The 19435-nt window shown below is 35.9% G+C and overlaps 1 long non-coding RNA gene across 1 annotated transcript in view; it reads left to right on the top strand.

The window, feature by feature from the left end:
* The first annotated feature begins 61 nt into the window (after nt 1-61).
* Nucleotides 62-19435, top strand: part of LINC01495 (long intergenic non-protein coding RNA 1495) — a 46348-nt gene continuing 26974 nt past the window's right edge. Inside the window, exons 1-2 of the long non-coding RNA NR_120583.1 lie at nt 62-166; nt 11872-12008. This is a non-coding gene — a long non-coding RNA (long intergenic non-protein coding RNA 1495). The remainder of the gene's footprint in view (nt 167-11871; nt 12009-19435) is intronic.

The raw sequence follows: 19435 nt of genomic DNA, 5'->3' as shown, positions 1-19435 counted from the left end.
GCAACCAGGCGGAGAATCTTTGGAACAAGTAGCAGACTTCATCACAGCAGGAGCCGTGAGGCAAGAAGCTCTGGGATCAATTAAAATGCCAGGCTTTTCCAGGCTGGTTTCCAGCGCATCTGTGCATGATTCCACATAAATTTAGGGAATTAGAGATCAGACAAAGGTAAACATTTCTGTGCTTTGCTTAGCATTGATTTAGAATGCGAAGATGAAATATACCACAGTCACCCAGCGTGGAGGGGGTATACACCTTCGGCTGATTTTTTTCCCTCTTCAATTGCTTTATTATTTTAGGTATGTTGTAATCGAAGGCTGCTTAAATCATCTGTGTGTTCCTCTGGGGAGGGGAGGAGAAAAAGAAACAAAAGAAAAACCAGTTCCTACTTTCATAGACTAAACAGTAGAATGACTCATTCTTTAATTTTATAATCACACCTCTTAAAAGAAGAAATTATTAATGATCTTCATTTTCCAGCTATTCGGTTTCCTGAGCTTCCGTTAGATAAAAAGCTCACTTGCGTCCTCCTAGAAAATGAAAGACCGTTTCTCCCATAAATCTGGAAAGTCTAACCTTTTGTGGAGTCTTCTCTTCCTCTGTTTTTTTTTTTTTGTTGTTGTTGTTGTTTGTTTGTTGTTTTCTGTTGGTTTTGTTTGTGTCCCTAGTACAGAAGGTCTTTTACTGCCTGTGTGTTGGGGAGAGGTTTAACTTCCGCACTTCCTTTGTACCTGGGGTGAGGTGAGGGTTAGAGGTTTATCTTTGAAGTACCAAGCAGCATGACAAGGACAGTACAGAGATAGGAAAAGTACAGACAAGTGGCTGGAGATAATGACAAGGCAAACAAATATAATGAACAGCAAATTATAGATTTTAAAATCCTCCAGAAAAAGACAATTCCTTGATATCACAGAGGTAGCACAGACTTACCCTTTTATTAAACAACAAGAAGAAAAGCAGAAAGCCATCAGTCTTTAGCTGAATATTAGGAAGGAATAAGAAGTGGGGCTTTAAGCCATCTTCTATATGAACATGACCAACTCAATATCTCCTACCCTATTTCCACACCAGTAATAAGTGTTACAAAGATGTCCAAAGTTCTTTTCAGCTTTATAGTTGTAAAATTCTGTGAATTAATGCAAAATTTTAGAAAAGCTGAGGAGAAAATTAACATTTATTGAGCTCTTAGGGCTGGCCTCAATGCTCAATACATTTACTCTATTTTTTAATTCTGATGACAATCCTGTGAGGGAGACAGTATCTCAATTCTACAGGTGAGGAATCTGACGTTTTCATACAATGACAAACGACAAAGCTCTTGTCTTTCTGAATATCAATCAAGCTCATGTGATTTCTACTCCCTCTACCCTCTGAATTATGTCATCCTCAAGAATTCTTATACAATGAGGACTACCCACCTAAAGTTTGACTTAGGTGAAACAAATCATTCGTTCTATATGTTTTATACCGTAAGTGCAGTATGATATAAATCTATAATGACCACTTCCAGGAGAACGTAAAAGCTTAAGAAAATATCAGTTTAACCATCTCTTGCCATTTGGTGAGCAGACTGTGTGAGAAATGGAAACCTCCCAACAGAACACAATATATGAGAGGGTTGAGAGTCGGACTCTCAAGTCTGATATTCCAACTCTAGATACCTTCAGAGTAAGGTGATACAGATCTTGCCAAAGTACATGGTGAAATATTTTAATGCAAAAGTGAATGTAGGTTAAAACTCTAGCAGCTTGGAGTTTTAATATTCTGTCATCTACGAGTGCCTGTAATTAATGCTGCTTACATTCAGTTGGCATATTTATGACTTCAGTTTCCTCCTTATATCCATTCTTCAGTTTTTCCCTACCTATTAGCAGTGCTCAGAGACCAGGGAGTAATTGACTGCAATTCAGTGGAAGCAGAAAAAATTGCCTAAGAAGACATCAATAGAAGAGTGATTTCCATAAAGGAACAATTACTTTTGCTACATTCTTTGAGCTGATATAAATCTAATTTTAAAAGTTTTTCATTAGTTTAGAAAAATTCTGCTTCTTCTCAAAGGGAGTTTTGCTTTGCTTTTGCTTCTTTAGAAAGAGGAGTTCCTCAGTAATACAATGCTAGATGGTAAATTGGTATCTTAGTTCCCTACCAGAAAAGGATCATACCCCTGAAGCTTCAGAAATCCCTGCCCCCACTGGGCCAGGCTTCTGTTGGAGCTCTGCTCTGTCAAAACTTGATGCTCTCTGAATTGCCTTTGGGCAATTCTTTTTCTTCTTCTTTTTATTTATTTTTTTGAAGAATAGTACAAATTTACAGCTGAATAGTTTTATCATTCTGTCCTGTAGAAGCAAAGAAATTTGAAAGTCTTCCTTTATTTCCATTTATTCCACTCTCTCTGTCCCTTTTAATTCAAATTGGCTGTGATTCCACTCTCTCTGTCCCTTCAAATTGGCTGTATCTTTGCTGTATAAACCCATCTCTATTCCTGGCCTCTGCTGAGATAGCTGATTAGGTTCATGGTTCATACCATCACTTATCAACTTATCAAAATGTTGGTCAGTTACCCCCTTAGTGTTCTCTTGTGGACATACCTTCTCATTTTTACAACATAGATAGGCTGAGAATTTTCAACATCTTTAAGTTCTGGTTCCTTTTTGCTTAACAATCTCATCTGCGATTCATTTCCCTCTCCTCTCATTTCACTATAAGGAGTCAAGAGGAACCAAGATACTCCTTGAACACTTTGTTTAGAAATCTCTCTAGCTAAATATCCAATTCTATCACTCACAGGTTCTGCTCTCCACAAAACGCTAGAATACAAACACATTTCAGCTGAGTTCTTTGAAACTTTATAACAAAGAACAACTGTCATTCATTGTCCAATAATATGTTTCTCATTTTCATCTAAGACTTCTCTAGAATGGCCTTTATCATCCATATTTCTACCAACTTTCTGTACGTCATTATTTGCGTATTCTTCAAGATGTGCCCTTTCTCTATAGTTATTTTCCTTTCTTTCTGAGGACTTAACAGATTCATCTTTAATATTCCCTTCATCCCAATATTGGCTTTTTCTAGCACGCACCTCAATCTCTTCCAGCATCTACCCATTACCCAGTTCCAAAACTGCTTCCACAATTTTATGTATTTGTTATAGTGGCACCCTGTTTCTTGGTAATAATTTCTGTCTCAGTTTAGGTAGCAATAACAGAATATCATAGACTAGGTGACTTAAAAATATTAATTGATTTCTTACAGTTCTGGAGGCTGGGAAGTCTAAGATCAGGGTAACAAAATGGTTAGGTTCTAATAAACCTCAGTAGCCCTCTTCCTAGTTTGCATGTGGCCTTCTTGCTGAGTCCTCGCATGGCAGGAGGAGAGGAAGAGAAAGATAGAGACGGAAAAAGAGAGAGACACAGACACAAAGAAAGAAGATCCCCTCATGTCTCTTCTTATGAGGGTACTAATTTGATTATGAGAGCTTTACTGCGATGTCCTAATTACCTTCCAAAGGCTCCATCTCCAATACCACATCACAGTGAGAATTAGGATTTCAACATATGAATTTTAGGGGAGCATAAATGTTCAGTTCATGGAAATTATTACAGGTTTTGAATTTAATGAAATAAACAAGCTGATTATAATAGGATTAGACATTGAATTTTCAACAATGATCCAGGGAAGGTGCATTGCACTTATTGCTAATTTTGCACAAAATGTATATTCACAAATATGTAAGAAGAGACTTCTGATTTTGGCAACATGAATAACATATCCAACACAGACTCCTCACCCCCTCAAAAACCCACTATAGTAGAAGTTAACAATAGCAACAACAAATGCACACAAATGAATAGGTGTACTCAGGAAAAGAAGTAATAATCCCAAATTTTAGAAAAAAAAAAAGAGAGAACTCAAAAGAAAAAGGTAAGCAATTTTATTAACCGTGTAACATCATAGGAAGGAGAAAACCCTGATATAGGCCCTATAATCTAGTACTTAGGGTATATTTCTTAGGGATAGAAAAACAGTGGTTTAAAGCTGAAACTTGGGGCCCTGAGTAAAGCTAGAAGAGCATTAGAGTAGCCTCCTTCATGTAAGTGAGACTAAAAACAACTAATCCATAAAAAAGCAAGAAAACTTGACTCTGATTGGGTCTTAGGGTATGAAAAAGTCTCCAATTAGCAACCCAAACTCAGCCTATTCCACATGCAGGTGTGGAGTCTAATTTTAGCTATCTTCTATTAATCTATATATTTGTCAGCTTGAACTACCACAGCAAGACACCTTAGCCTGCTTAAGCAACAGAAATTTATTTTCCCATGGTTCTGAAGGCTGGAAGGCCAAGATCAAGGTTCTGGTCAATTTGGTTTTGATGAGGGCTTTCTTCCTGGCTTGCAGTTGGTTGCCTTTCACCACGTCCTCATGTGGTTTTTCCTTGGTGCATGCAGGTGGGGAGGCAAACAAAGAATGAGAGATGATCCATATAACTAGGAAATGCAAATTAAAACTACAAAGCCATACCATTTCACATTCACTAGAATGTCTATAATATAAAAAAGACAGTATTATTAATGGTGAGAATGTGTAGAAAATGGAACTCCCACATATTGGTGGAAATGTAAAACTGGCACAGCCAGTTTGGAAAAGTTTAGTGGTTTCTTAAAAAGTTAATCATAAACTTACTGAATTAGTTTCCTACAGCCATCATAACAATACCACAGACAAAGAGATTTAAATAATGGAAATTAATTTTCTGACAGTAATGGAGGTTGAAAGTCCAAGATCAAGGTGTTGGCAGTTTTGGCTTCTCTTGATGCCTTTTTGATTGTAGACATTGGGCTTCTCATTGTGCTCTCACATGGCCTTTCTTCTGTGCACATCCCTTCCTAGTGTCTGTTCCTCTTTTTATAAAGATACCAGTCATATTGGGTTAGGGTCCCACTCTTATGACCTTGTGTCACCTTAATTAACTCTTTAAAGATGCTATCTCCAAATGTAGTCACATATACATTTTGGCAGAACACAATTTAGTCCATTACAAATACAATCCAGAAACTCCACCCCTACTTATCTACCAAAAGGAAATGAAATATATGTTTACACATATATTTTACACATATAAAGACATTTATGTGCGTGTCACAACAACATTATTCTCAGTGGCTATAAACTTGAAATAATTTTAATGTTTGTGAACTGGTGAATACATAAACAAAATGTGGTCTATCTATCCAATGGAATAATAGCCATAAAAAACTACTGGTCTATGCCACAACATGGAAGAATCTCAAAGCCATGGTAAGTTAAAGCAGCCCCTCACAAAAAAACTACATATTGTATGATTACATTTGTATGAAATATCCAGAAAAGACAAGTCTATAGAGACAGAAAATAGATCAGTGTTTGCCTGAAGCTAGTTGTGGTACTAGGAATTAATCACAAAGGTGCACAAAGGAACTTTTGGGAAGGATATAAATGTTTTAATATCAGATTTTGGTGATGGCTGCTCAACTCTATAAATGTCCTAAAAGTCGTTGAATTGTATATTTAAAAATGAGTGAATTTTATGTTATAAATTATACCTTAAGCCGGGTGCAGCGGCTCATGCCTGTAATCCCAGCACTTTGGGAGGCCGAGGTGGGCAGATCACCTGAGGTCGGGAGTTCAAGATCAGCCTGACCAACATGGAGAAACCCTATCTCTACTAAAAATACAAAATTAGCCGAGTGTGGTGGTGCATGCCTGTAATTCCAGCTACTTGGGAGGCTGAGGCAGAAGAATTGCTTGAACCCAGGAGGCAGAGGATGCGGTGAGCCGAGATTGTGCCATTGCACTGCAGCCTGGGCAATAAGAGTGAAACTCTGTCTCAAAAAAAAAAAAAAAATTATACCTTAAAAAAGCTGTGAGGAAAAAGAAGCATATAAGGAAGGAAATAGTGTAGGTGTTCATAATCCTTGCACTTTCTCCTTCTCCTTCTCCATATGCCACATTCCTTTATGAAAATGACCTGCTTATTTTCCAAGTATTTCTGGTCATTTTTTAAAAAAGCAACTTTGAAATGAGCTATTGATCATGAGCCCTTGGTCTCAAGAGAAATTACACAGTCAGTGGTGACTTTCTCTTATGGAAGCATTCATTATATGGCATCTTTTTTTTTTTTTTAGCACTGTTTTGTTTTGATTCAAAACTATACAGTTAATTTCTTTCAAATGTTAAATTAAAAATATGTTTAAGCATTACTCTTTTCTGGTGGCCAATTAGAAGTCAAATACAATATACAGTTCTAATTAACGACCAAGGACACACTAGATATCATAATATAGGTAACATGTAAATTTGTTTTCTTAATAAATTGCATGTTGACAATTACATTAATTTATAAATTTTCCTTCCAGACTTTTTCCCTTAAAGGAAAAATCATAGACCATGAGATGTTCTTTCACATTCATATTTCAATTAGAAAATTTTAAGCGACTGTGGAAAGGTTAATGCCACTATGGTGCTTTCTCAAATCCCAAAAGTCTTCACAATCCCTTTGGACCTGGCCCCATTTCCCAGAGCCAAACATCATTTCCATCTGCATTCTGAGAGTTTCATTGAGCTTTTAGATTTGTATTGTGCTACTTAAAATTTCATACAATTTGGATACACTTTTGCATCTAGAGGCAGTTTATGTCTTAGGCCAAACCCTGAACTTAATTAACTTACCATAAACCTTTTTACCTTATAGCTATATCAGACCATAACACCAGTGCCCAGTTTGTGAAATAGAAGTAACGCATGCAGTAGGAATATCTTTCTGTGTCAGCTAATGAGGCATTCTTTTCAAACGTCAAAACCTTCTAGCAGGCCGGGCGCGGTGGCTCACGCTTGTAATCCCAGCACTTTGGGAGGCCGAGGCGGGCGGATCACGAGGTCAGGAGATCGAGACCATCCCGGCTAAAACGGTGAAACCCCGTCTCTACTAAAAATACAAAAAATTAGCCGGGCGTAGTGGCGGGCGCCTGTAGTCCCAGCTACTCGGGAGGCTGAGGCAGGAGAATGGCGTGAACCCGGGAGGCGGAGCTTGCAGTGAGCCGAGATCCCGCCACTGCACTCCAGCCTGGGCGACAGAGCGAGACTCCGTCTCAAAAAAAAAAAAAAAAAAAAAAACCTTCTAGCAAATAGGCATTTTTAATCATTCTATTTTGATAGTACAGGGGTCAAATTTCAAATTATAATTGCTGTAGGACAACAGTAAGAAGCAGATCTTTTCCTAACTTCCTTGAATTGCAAGTTAAAAAAGTCAGATATTAAGTGATAAAAACAAAAACTGAAAAACTAGATTTGAAGTATGATATGATTAAAAGTGACCAAACTTCGATTCAGGTGGATCTGAATTTAGTTTCAGTATTGCTTCTCATTAGCTATGTGAACTTGGGCAAGTAATTATTTTACTTCTTTAATCTTTTATTTTTTTAATTGATAGAAGGGTATAAGAATATTTATTTCTAAGACTTATTCTGAGGAATAAGTGGGAGTTCTTAAACTGAGATATTTGAACTACTTTCAGGGTTATTGTGAAGCACTGAAACTGCAAGAAAACATTTGTAGGTTGTTTGAGTGTTCATAGCTTTCATCAGTTCTCAAAGGAATTTCTGTGTTCATGAATCACTAAGAAGGGATACATAAGTGTTTGTAAATACAACTTTGTCAACACTTGAGAATGTGTCAGTAATGTCAATAATCTATTTCCTTCTCCTTTCTGAAACAAATGATTAGATTAAAATTACAAACAATATAAGATTTCATATTAAATACTCTTTTATACCACATGTATAGATGTTTTCAACAGACAATGAGAAACAACACTCATTTTTGTTCTATACAGGCCTTCAACCGATTGAGCAAAGCCCATCTACTTTGGGGAGAGCAATCTGCTTTACTCAGTCTACTGATTCAAATGTTATTCTCATCCAGAAACACTCTCCCAGATACACCCAGAGAAATACTTAGCCAAATATTGAGTTCTCATGGTTCAGTCAAATTAACACATAGAATTAATAGTAGCACAATAGATTATGAAATAGCTGTCCCTAGAGGTAAAATACATATTCTTAATATAACTTAGCAGTTATTCATGCAATAGTTTACTTCCAGTATTTAGCCTTATAGAAATCACAATTGAAACACGTATTTCCTACGTTAAATGCTTCCATGTTGACTACAGTTTGCTGACATCTAGAACTTTTATTTGTTTATAATCTGCTTTCTCCTGTTTTAATTTCCAGTTATTATCCTTGCAGAGTTTCATTTTGTCTAATAGGTTATTTGTTCTGCCCTGTAAAGTTGCACTATTTTTTTTTGTAGTTTCTCAGAGTTTTGCAAACCATTCAGCCATTTTCTTCAAACTTTTAAACTACTAATAAAGAAAACCTTGAAAAAGTATGCGATGCTTACATTTTTATGCATTGAAACAAGTTCAAAGTTACTGACACAGAATTTGTAAACTTATTTTCAATGAAATTAAGTAAATAAATACTCAGAAACACACATAATTCTTAACAGCAGTAACTGCATGTCAGTTAACATTTCTAGGTTGAGCATTCCAATTCTGAAAACTCCAAATCTGAAATGCTTCAAAATCCAAAACTTTTTGAGCACTGATATGACAATAAAGGAAATGCTCATCATAGCATTTGGGATTTGGGATTTTCAACCAGTAAGTAAAATGTAAATATTCCAAGTCCAGTATGAAATTTCCAAGATTTGACTGGTTTGGTGTACAACTTTAGCAGTTTCACCTAGTATACACTTTAGATTTAAGACTTATTTTTCAGGGTCTTTTCACTTAAAGAGACACATTCTCTCTTTTTTTATGAAATATTATTTTTCAGGTTCTTTTTATGATGATTCTTTTATCCTTTGAGTTTTTAGGTAAAACTTCATTTTTCTAAATGAGGTCTTTCTTGACCATAAAATGTAAAAGCACCAAATCTCACCCCCAGTGAAATTAATACTTTTTACTTCTTTAGACTCACCAGTATCTGAAGTGCTCCCTTGTTGGCTTACTAAAACTTACCCTGTCTCAAATGAAAGCACTTAGTACTTTCTATACAGAGATTGAGTATCCCTTATCCAAAGTGCTTGAGACCATAAGTGTTTCAGATTTCAGGTTTTTTTCAATTTTGGAATGTTTACGTTGTACTTACTGATTGAGCATCCCAAATCCAAAATATTCCAGTAAACATTTTCTTTAACCATCATGTACTCAAAAGGTTTTTGATTTTGGAGCATTTCAGACTTTGGATTTTTAGACTTGCGATGCTCAACCTGTAGAAATTACACAATAAACACTGAATAAATAAATGAGCTAATGAATGAATGCTTATGCTTCTGTTGCTGTGTTAGTCCATTTATGTTGCTGTAAAGGAATACCTGAGACTGGGTAATTTACAAAGAAAAGAGGTTTATTTGGAGTCACAGTTCAGCAGGCTGCACAGGAAGCATGGCACCAGCATCTGCTCAGCTTCTGGAGAGGGCCTCAGGGAACTTAGAATTACAGCAGAAGGTATATTATATATATATATATTGCCTAAAATGAGTTTCAAAAACTTTTCTCTGATGATAAGAAGACGTAAAAAGATGAAAGCCCCCAGGCACCTATAAATTAAGGGGAACAAAGATGGAACTGTGCTGAGAAGTGTGTGAGACAGAAGACTCTGGAAGAATCAGAAAATGAGGATTCAAAAAGTAAATGCTTTGGGGACATTGTTATCCATGGATCTTTCTCATTTTTATACTGTTTGCAAACAAAGGCACTGGCTGCCATTGTTCCCCATTATATTTTCAAGGCTGCTTGTATAGCAAATGGCCTTGGTAGATATAGATATAATCCCCCCAGCTCCCAGAGCAAAGGGTAGCTTTGATCATGTCTGGTGTACTAAAGATAATGTCTCTTCCTCGGGCAAAGGTCACAGGAAATGTGAATGCTTAGAATCAGACTATCTGGATATGAAATCTGGTTCTGACACTTATTGATAAGGTATTTTACCCATTTTGGGTATCAGATTTCTAATTTTGTGTGGCAGTTTTAAGAAAATATGCCTCAAGAACTGTTTAAATAAATAAATAAGATGACATGATGACTTGCACCATGTGTCTTAGTCTGTTTTGTGTGCTGCTATAACGGGATACCACAAACTGAGTAATTTATGATAAACAGAAATGTTTTGGTTCACAGTTCTGGAGTCTGCAAAGTTCAATATCAAGGTGCTGGTATCTGGCACATGGTTTCTTGGTGTGCTATCCTATGTTGGATAGGGCTATCCTATGTTGGGAAGGTGGTAGGGTAAAACAGAGAGAGAGATGGAGAAAGAGCCCACACCTGAAAGCCCTTTTATGAAGGCATTCAACCTTCAATAATTCCCCATGGCCTAGTTATCTCTTAAGTCTGTACAATGGCAATTAAATTTTAACATGACTTTGGGAGGGAACAATCATTCAAATCATAACAGCATGATAAGCATATCTTTCCTGCACAATTGCTTACTGTTTCTATCTTTGTTTCACCTTCCTTTTTCTCTGCCTTTCATCCTACCTTCTTTGAACTGTCTTTAGAAAATCAAAATGCCCCCATTTCCTTAGAAGGTCACAACCCACCTCAGACTGATAAAGAAACTGATATTTATAGAACACATCCAAATATAATCAGCCTAAAATTTTTTGGACAAAACAAACTAACAAACATAAGTACAAAGCAGAGATTATAGAGGCTTAGACAATTAGTCAAACTCCTCTATCACGAAGTATGTCCTTCACCCAGTTATGTTTCCCTGACATACTAACCATCTATTGAGCACTCACCAAGCAGGTGTATTGAGAGAGAAGAGGGGATGTAGTAGTATGAAATGAATTCAGCTCCAGATAATAGGAAACCCAACCAACAGTGGCTTGAACAAGTAAAGGATTTATTTGACTCATGCAAAAATAAGCCCAAGGTCATTTTGTTTAAGTGTAACAGTGCCATCAAAGACCCCCTCAACATGCAGTTCTTCAGCTTCTAATATGTCATCCTCAACATGAAGGTCTTCAGCTTCAAGCTTGTCTTTTCTTGGTAACATCAGATGAACTGTGTGAATTACATCCATTTAACTCTGGTACCTCTTGAACTCTCCCTTCAAAGTTCTGTCAAAATTCCCTAATAGTATTTATTGACCAGAGATCTCAAATCCTACTGGTATTTAGCCTCAGAGACATTTTACCCAATGGAGAATGGGGCTGTATTCCATTACCAGAATGCTGAAGGCTGCCACCAGCCTTATACAGCTTTCTTTCCATCAGAAGATCCATGGAATTTTCTGTACCCCAATATGGAGCAAGGATCAGGCACCAAGCTCTTTCATGTTCTCTTGCCCTCTCAAGTAAAATTCTCTCTCTCTCTCTCTCTCTCATTTTTTACCCTGACTAATATCTTTATTATGTTGAAATTAAACAGATTGTTGCAAGTGATCATATCTCAGGTTACATTCCTTTTCTTTCTCTGAGAACATCAAGAAAATCCATCATAATCAAGAATGGCAGTTGCAATGGAAGGAATGAGCCCTCTCGATCCCTCGGCACAGGCACAACTAGGTGGAAACCTGTCAACTCCTAAGTTGAGGCCACAAGAAGGGCGTGGGTAACAGGAAAAAGCACAGTGAGAGTATTTCTAACAGGCTCAGAATTAGGCAACTGTGTACACATACAAATATATATATATTTTTTTTTTAGGAAACAAAAAATTCTGTGCCTGAGTAGTTACATGTAGCTACAGCAGCTTCACAATGAATCCAGAATCTAGACCTCTCCATCTTTCTGTGTGGCTAACCATAACTAATGTTTCTTGCTCATAGTTATAAGACAGCTGTTGATGTCCCACTCACCAGTTAGGAGGATTGAGAAGAAGCTGCTTTCCAGGAAATCCCAGTCGACTTCCAGATAGATCTCTTTGGTCAAAAATGTGTCACAGCTCCAACTCTTTTTTTGTAAGGTAATATGGGGAATAAAATATTTTAGTAGCAAAACTGGGTCTCTGCCAATAAGAAAGAAGGAGAGGTTAGATATTGGGTAGATAACTAGCAGCATCCTCCATGTGATAAACTGGAATGGGAGACTATGCTAGCTTTGATAAATTATATCTGGCCTACATTTGTTAGCTCTTGCCACTTGTTAAACTATTTTCTATTGAATCCAAGGAATGCACTTAAATTACATTCGAATTTTCAGTTTGAAATGAAAGTACCACATTTGTTCCACTCTACTTTTATTATTTCCACCAAATCCTGAACTTCTCCATTCCTTACCACTATGTTCCATGGTATTACATTCAAAGCCTCAGTCACAGCCCACTGAAATCCATAGCGGTCAAATGGTTAAAAACCAGAGTTCCTAGAAAATCCACCTGAGATGATTAGTTAAAGCAATCTGAAAAAGCAAGATATTTCACTGCCTGCCACATAATGTTTCTCCAGCCCCAGCCCCTGTAAAAATAAAATATCTTTAATGGAAGCCAACTCATTACCCCATAAAATTACTACAACACATGTGCTTGAAAATTTAAGACAGATATTGTGAACTTGGCATGCCACAGGGAACCACAGAAATGTTCTCCAAGAAATGATTTCATTTTGTTGGTTTTATATTTAAAGTCACATTTTTGGCAGGCAATCCCAAAGACAAAGTTCCAAGAGTAAACTGGCCTATGGGATAGAACTCAGATTCTGGTCACTTGCCCACATGTGTTTAAATCGCTTACCTGTCCTTGTATACCTGACATAATGATCTGGGAGCCTGGCTCTGTTCCTTCTAGTTGTAGACTTCTTTTTGCCATCTTTCCTTCTACCCTCCATACTGAGTGTAGTTTATTACTTTAGCACACATATGCGGGGTTATAAAACAGTCTAGATTTGAAGTGCTACTCTGGCACTTAATAGTAGTGTAACTTAGACAAATTACATAACCACACTTTGCTTCAGTTTACTCATCTATAAAATAAGCATCACAATAATGTCTGCATCATAAAGCTGTTATGAAGATTGAATCAGTTAATGTATTAAAGTTCTTAAAATAGTGCCCAGCATGTAGTGTGATATAGGTGGTAGCTGTTATTATTATCACCCAGCTGGATAATAGGACATGGCCTAAATTAGCCAGCAAAATGACTCCCCGAAGTAAGTCAGCCAAAACCAGAATAAAAGAATTGTGTGGAAATGTGTGTGGAAGCTGACAGATATTCCCCCAAATACTGCAAATATAAGGGACTCAGCTGAGTGATCAGGGAAAGTTACCTGGGATTCAAATTCACTATTTCCTCTGCATGCTTAAGGACTGTGAAATTTTAGTGAACAGAAGAATCTCAGGGTTTATCTCATATAGTCCCTTCATTTTATAAAGAAAAACCGAATCTATGAGTAAATACAAGGTTACATAAGTAATTAGTGGACAGTTTCCTGGGCCCTGATGCAGTGACTTTTTTTCTTATATTAAGGTAAGATAATTTCTTTATTCCCTCTCAAGTGAAGATGGGAAGAGAAAGACAAGAATCTCAAACAGGCTATAGATCTCCATAATCTCTGCTTACAAAGAGGTCCATTCCAACTCAGAAATATTTACTTAACACAGAATCTTGAAATTGTAGAAGTCTTTGGGCTTGGAGCTTTATAACTATTTACTCAGCTGATTATCTCCATTTCTTACAGTGAAATGTGAAACTTGTTTCTTAAGAGTGTATGTGCAGCTTGAAATCTTCCAGATAGGCAAAAAAAAAAAAAAAAAAAAAAAAAAAGTGAGTTAGTTTTTCCCATTTGGGCGCCAAACTTACAATCTTAACCTTTTCCTCTTCTCATCTTTGCTTCTATTATTCTGATTTCAGAATAATGTCCAGCCCCATTATATACATTTCTGTAGCATTTTCATTTTCCCAAGGGTCTTCCTCATTTGACTTATATCTCTCAACAATTGTCATCAGCTTTATCATCCTCACTTGACCAATGAGGAAATCAAACTTTGAAAGGATTCAGCGACACTCTTCTATGATCACATGAGTAAAGGGGAAGCCTGATTAAAAACCAACAACAACAACAAACAAAACAAAACAAAACAAAAAACAAAGAGACAGGTTTTCTGAGTCATTCTGTCTTTCATTTATTCAGTATTATCTTACTAATATGACCGTGTGTTTCCCATGTGAATTGAGGATAAGTGGTTTTAAAAACAAAGTCACTCAAGATCCTTTCTTAAAGCTTAGCTTATATCCAGGTCAGTTATGTTTTATTCTAACACACAGTAAAACTATTGAGTGTTATTAATGAGTTTACAAACAAGTCAAAAGGTAAACTATACCTGAGATATCAAGTATACATAAATAAGAGGTTTTTAAGGTGACTTAATATAAAACAAAGTATAAATGTGCTGAGGTCAATAAACCAGTGACCAGAAAATTAGAGCCAATCAGAACCATAGACATGACTGAGAAAGACTATCTGTAGGTCAGCTTCACTGCTTCCCTCCCAGCCTTACTGCCCCAGTCACTCTACAGCTCCCAGATTTAGTCACACCAGACTGGTTTCATTTCTTAGCACACCTCATGCAATTTCATCATGTGTTCCTACAATTTGTATTTCCTTTTCATCTTCTCTTGTGCTTCTATTTTTAAACAATGACTTATTTTATTTATCCTTCAAAGCCTACTTCAGAAGTGTCCAAGACTGATAAAATTACTGTTGTTTAGGAACCCTCCACCAGTAACTGGGGCCTCCTAGGAATGTAAGAGACTCTAGGAGATAAGAAGGAAAAGTCAGTTAATAATAACTTCTCAAAGTTTCTCATCCTTGTGAAGTCAGGAGACTATTAGAGACTAAGAAAGTCATGATGTGATGTTTCCAGTTCATCCTCTAATTCAGCAATTTTATTGAGCATCATTTTATTTTTCTAAGTAAAAATGCATCATTAAATAAGACAAAAATTATCCTCTTATGATGTTTTTATTATGATAGCAAGGCAGACAATTATATATATACATATATATACAAAACAACACATATAAATATATAACTTAAAATTGTGATGAGTGTAAAAACTCGAAAAGACAATAATATTATATTTGAGGGAAATGTAGACATTTTGGTTGAATCTCCAGCACTTACTTCATCATCTCTTGATGAATAACAACAATACATGATTTGGAGAAGGACTTCAGTTCAATTGGTGATGACTCCTATCTCATATTTATAAATTATTCCCATCTACTTTATCAATGATTGGTTCAAGCATAATCACGTGACCCAGTTCCAGTCAATAAAATGTAAAACCAGTTTACTGCAGGCATCTGAGAAAGTTTAAAAAAATTATTTTTTATGAAAGAGCCATAACAAATTAATAGTTTTATAGTATTAACAAGGAGCCTTGTGGCCCAGATTTTCCCTGAAATCATTTTTACCACCACGAAGGGGGAACCAGCTTTAGGAGGAAGATGATGATATGGAAGCTGGAGTTAAAAAAGGAACAAACTTGTTAGGGTACTAAGCCAATCACCTGAAACTCACCTGACCTCAGGATCTCCTCTTGTAGGATCTCATATTTCCTGCTCTTAACATAAACTTGAACCACATTTTCTTTTACCTGTTCCTGAAAACAAATGACACAAAAGGCTAGATGGTCAGGCAAGATCTCTCTAAAAGGTGACGTTTAGAGTGAAACCTAAATGATGAGAAGTAGCTAACTGGCCAAAGATCTGGAGGAGTTGGAGACAGTCAGGATAAAGAGTCTAAGGAGTAAAGAAAGAACGATCTGCTTTTTGAGGGACAGAAGGAAAGCCAATGTGGCTGGTGAAGTGTGAACCAAAGAGAGAATGGGATAAGAACCAACTGAAACATACACAAGAGTCAGAGTTTTAACTGAGGTTTTAATAGATTCACAACATCTCTTCTTTGAAAGGTTTAGCAGAAATTGAAGTTTTTGTTATTCTTTCTGAAGTAATATATTTTTCATGACATCCAATACAAAGAACATCTTAAATGCTCTCTAGCCCTTCAGCTAAGATCCACGTCTCAAATTTGAAGATCATAAATTAGGTGATTCTTATAGAACGCTGACTAATTTACATCCTTTTGTTGGGTTATAAAAATCCAAGAACATAGGCAGAAAAGTTTTGATGGTAAAAAATGTATTGTAAGACAAACGGGAAGAGGAAAGAGACAGTCAATATTCTGACTTCCGGGCATACAAACAATTCTGCTTTAAAGTGATTTTAAATATCCAGAACCAAATGGAGAATTAGAGACAGTGTTAAACTATCACTGTTTATCTTCATAGTTTGTTTTATTATTGCTTCTAAATCCTTAACATATTGTAAAACTAAATGTTCCATACTTTACTGATCTGTATAACACTTGTACGTATTCTATTTTAAACCTAATTGCTTAGTTATGTGCATATGTATCTATGTCTTTCCCAGTAGATTGTAAGTTCCTAGAGAAGACACAACTTTGAAATCTCTTTTATATTCCCTCATCCTCTGACAGCTCTATCAATTTAATAGAAACTCAGTACATTTTTGATGAAATAAATGCTCCTTTGTTGCCATTTAACACTGGCAGACAGGTACTAAGATTCCATTTCTCAATAATTATAATATATAGAATGCATACTAGGTAAGCTCATTCCAATAGTTTGTGACAAAATTTTATATAAAAGAAGGATTCTATTTCAGTTTATGAATAATTGCAGGTTTTTTTGGTCTATCTTAGAAATTTGACTGATGACTGGTGAAAGAGTTACAGTGCAAATTCTAAAGTTTTGAAAGACGGGGGACATTGTAGGGGGAAGCAATTTACACCACCAGGAAAACTCTTCTATTTCCCTACCATTTGGAATTCTAATGGAGTGTGCACTCTCTTACTAACACCTGTTTATTTTTAACCAGAAAACAAATGGTTGGATTTTTCTGTACAAACAGAGCAAAAGTTTTTCTGCACCTTAAAATTTGTATTTAGTTTTTGTTTCACTTATTTGCATAATTAAACTAGTTACATATTAAGAGGGGAAAAAAAGAAATTTGACTGATGTCTGAGTTTCTGAAACCAACTATTCCTTCATTTGTTTCATAGAAACAACTGCTCTAAATTGCGAACAACTGTCTAAAAACGTACCCTCATTCATAGGGTACGTTCACCTCATTCTTCAAATACTGGTTTCCTTAAGTAATCAGTTTCTGGCACCCAACATTTGGTTTTGATATCCTTCCTATGTGTTCTCAGAGAAACCTGGTTTGTATGACTCAACCTATGTAGTTCAGTCTTACTCTGATAGATACACAATACATGTTTGGTTGATTAATTAAGAAAAAGTCTGTGACATCCAACTTCCTTCCCATCCACAAGCTCTTACTGGGGAGATAGCCAACGTAATAATGTCTGCCATGTGACAGATACAATAAATAAATAAATAAATATTAATGCTGTTGACATTTGCAAAGTAGCATATATTATGCTAAGAGCATTCACACACATTATTTTGTTTCATCCTCAAGACTTCTTCTAAAGCCGGTGATCCTTCTTCTGTTCTTCTCCACTTCCATCTTCAGGCTAAGGCAATGGAAATTGAAACTCAAAATGATTTTTTTTTTTCTGAAACTGAATATAAGTCTGAAGGATTCTAGAAATATATATATATATATTCTCTTGTGTTCAATGTACTCTATTCATTGAGTCTAAGAATTCCTTGAGAGCCAGGGGGTTATTTATTTATGGTATTCTTTTCAGCCTCCTACTGTAATGTCCAGCATGTGTTATGTGCCCATTAAAGGCCAATTGAATTTAAACAAGGAGCACCATTTCTTAAAATTCTCAACAGTAAGGCTACAAGTACAAGAAAAATATACTTTATTTTCTAGCCATATCAAAGCTTTGCTTACTCAGATTTTTTTTTCCATTATTTTGCATAACCAAGATTTTACTGAAGTAAAATAACCCATTAAATAAAATCAGTTTCTCTTGCAAGCTAACATTTTTCATTTTGCTTCACATTTTCATTAGTAGCCTTAAAGTATGCTATTTTAAATATATTATTGATATAAACTTATATATTTAAAACTGAATATATTACCATGTTTATCTTGCTATTTGCTGGACATCTTAACAAGTAAACTTGATTCATTTTCAAGCTTTTGAGTGAAAATGTTCTTGCAACTGCTAGTTGATCTTGGGTGAATCAGGACTAGCTCCCACAATTAACTTCTCAGGTTTTAAATCTGTCAAAGAGAAACTGCAAATGATTTAATGTCTGGAAGAATGTCAGTGTCCACTGTATCATGATCTGCTAGTAAGCAACCTCAGTTCCTGTTCCTGGTTCCAGTTGAGGTTAAAATGAAACTTTCTGGATCTGCTTCTAAATGTTCTCTATTTTCAGAGAGAAGAACTACTAAATGATTGACATCTCAGTTGGCTCCGTAACTGATATATTTCAAACTGTGTGTTGAATTTAACTTATTGCTTTACCTTTACAAATTTAATAAAATTTAAAAATCCCTTGAAAAGTAAGTTTAGATTTTCTCATTATTGGGTTACTTGACATAGAATAAGGAAAATAAAATATTTTTATCTGTTTCAAACAAATGAAGATATAAAAGATGCTGCCATATTTTCCCTGGCTTATCATGTAGTTGCTGTTATACAAAGAGGAATGAATTCATCATCAAACATCTGTACTTCAATGTCAACATGTGGTTCAATAGCAAACAAGTGATTCCATGATTTAAATGAAGAGCTAGCGGGTTTGAATTTTATGTTGAATCAGTTTCTAGAATTTCTTCTAAAATTTGAGCCAACAATTCTGGGAAAATCATCTGCGATAAGTGATAAAGATAATATTTCATTGTTGTTGTTTGTTTGGTTTATTTGTTTGTTTGAAAGACATCCTGGGATTCCTGAGGAACATAAAGCAGCCAGAGTCACTATCACATCAGGCTGGGATTCTTTAGCTCTAATGCCAGTCCAGATCACTGTTGAAGCATTCTCACCACAGGTTCCTCTCTTGTTAAAGTGGCAATTTGAATATTGCCTCCAAACCTTTTGTTTTAATTATTAAATAAAATTGCCCAGAGAGATTTTTTGTTGTTGCTGTCAGACTTTATATCAGGTAGGCTGTATTCTCTGCATTCCCTGAAACATTTCGATATCTCAACAATCAGCTACTTGGTTGCCTGTCAGTTTCTTAAGAAGGACAGTCACATGTCACAAGAGAATTCAGCCAGGTATAAACAGACAATGAAATCAAAGCTGTACCAACCATTCCACTGTAGAATCAAGGACTTTAAGAAGTTTCAGGGACCGTCTAGTCCAATATTTCATTTTACAGATGAAAAATTCCGAAGGTCACGTTGGCTCAAGACTTTTTAAAGATCATAGCGTTTACTAGCAG

This window comes from Homo sapiens, chromosome 11 (genome assembly GCF_000001405.40).
Source record: "Homo sapiens chromosome 11, GRCh38.p14 Primary Assembly".
Taxonomy (NCBI): Eukaryota; Metazoa; Chordata; class Mammalia; order Primates; family Hominidae; genus Homo; species Homo sapiens.
Note: the sequence above shows the minus strand (reverse complement) of the source record. Positions and strands in the feature narration are given on the sequence as shown.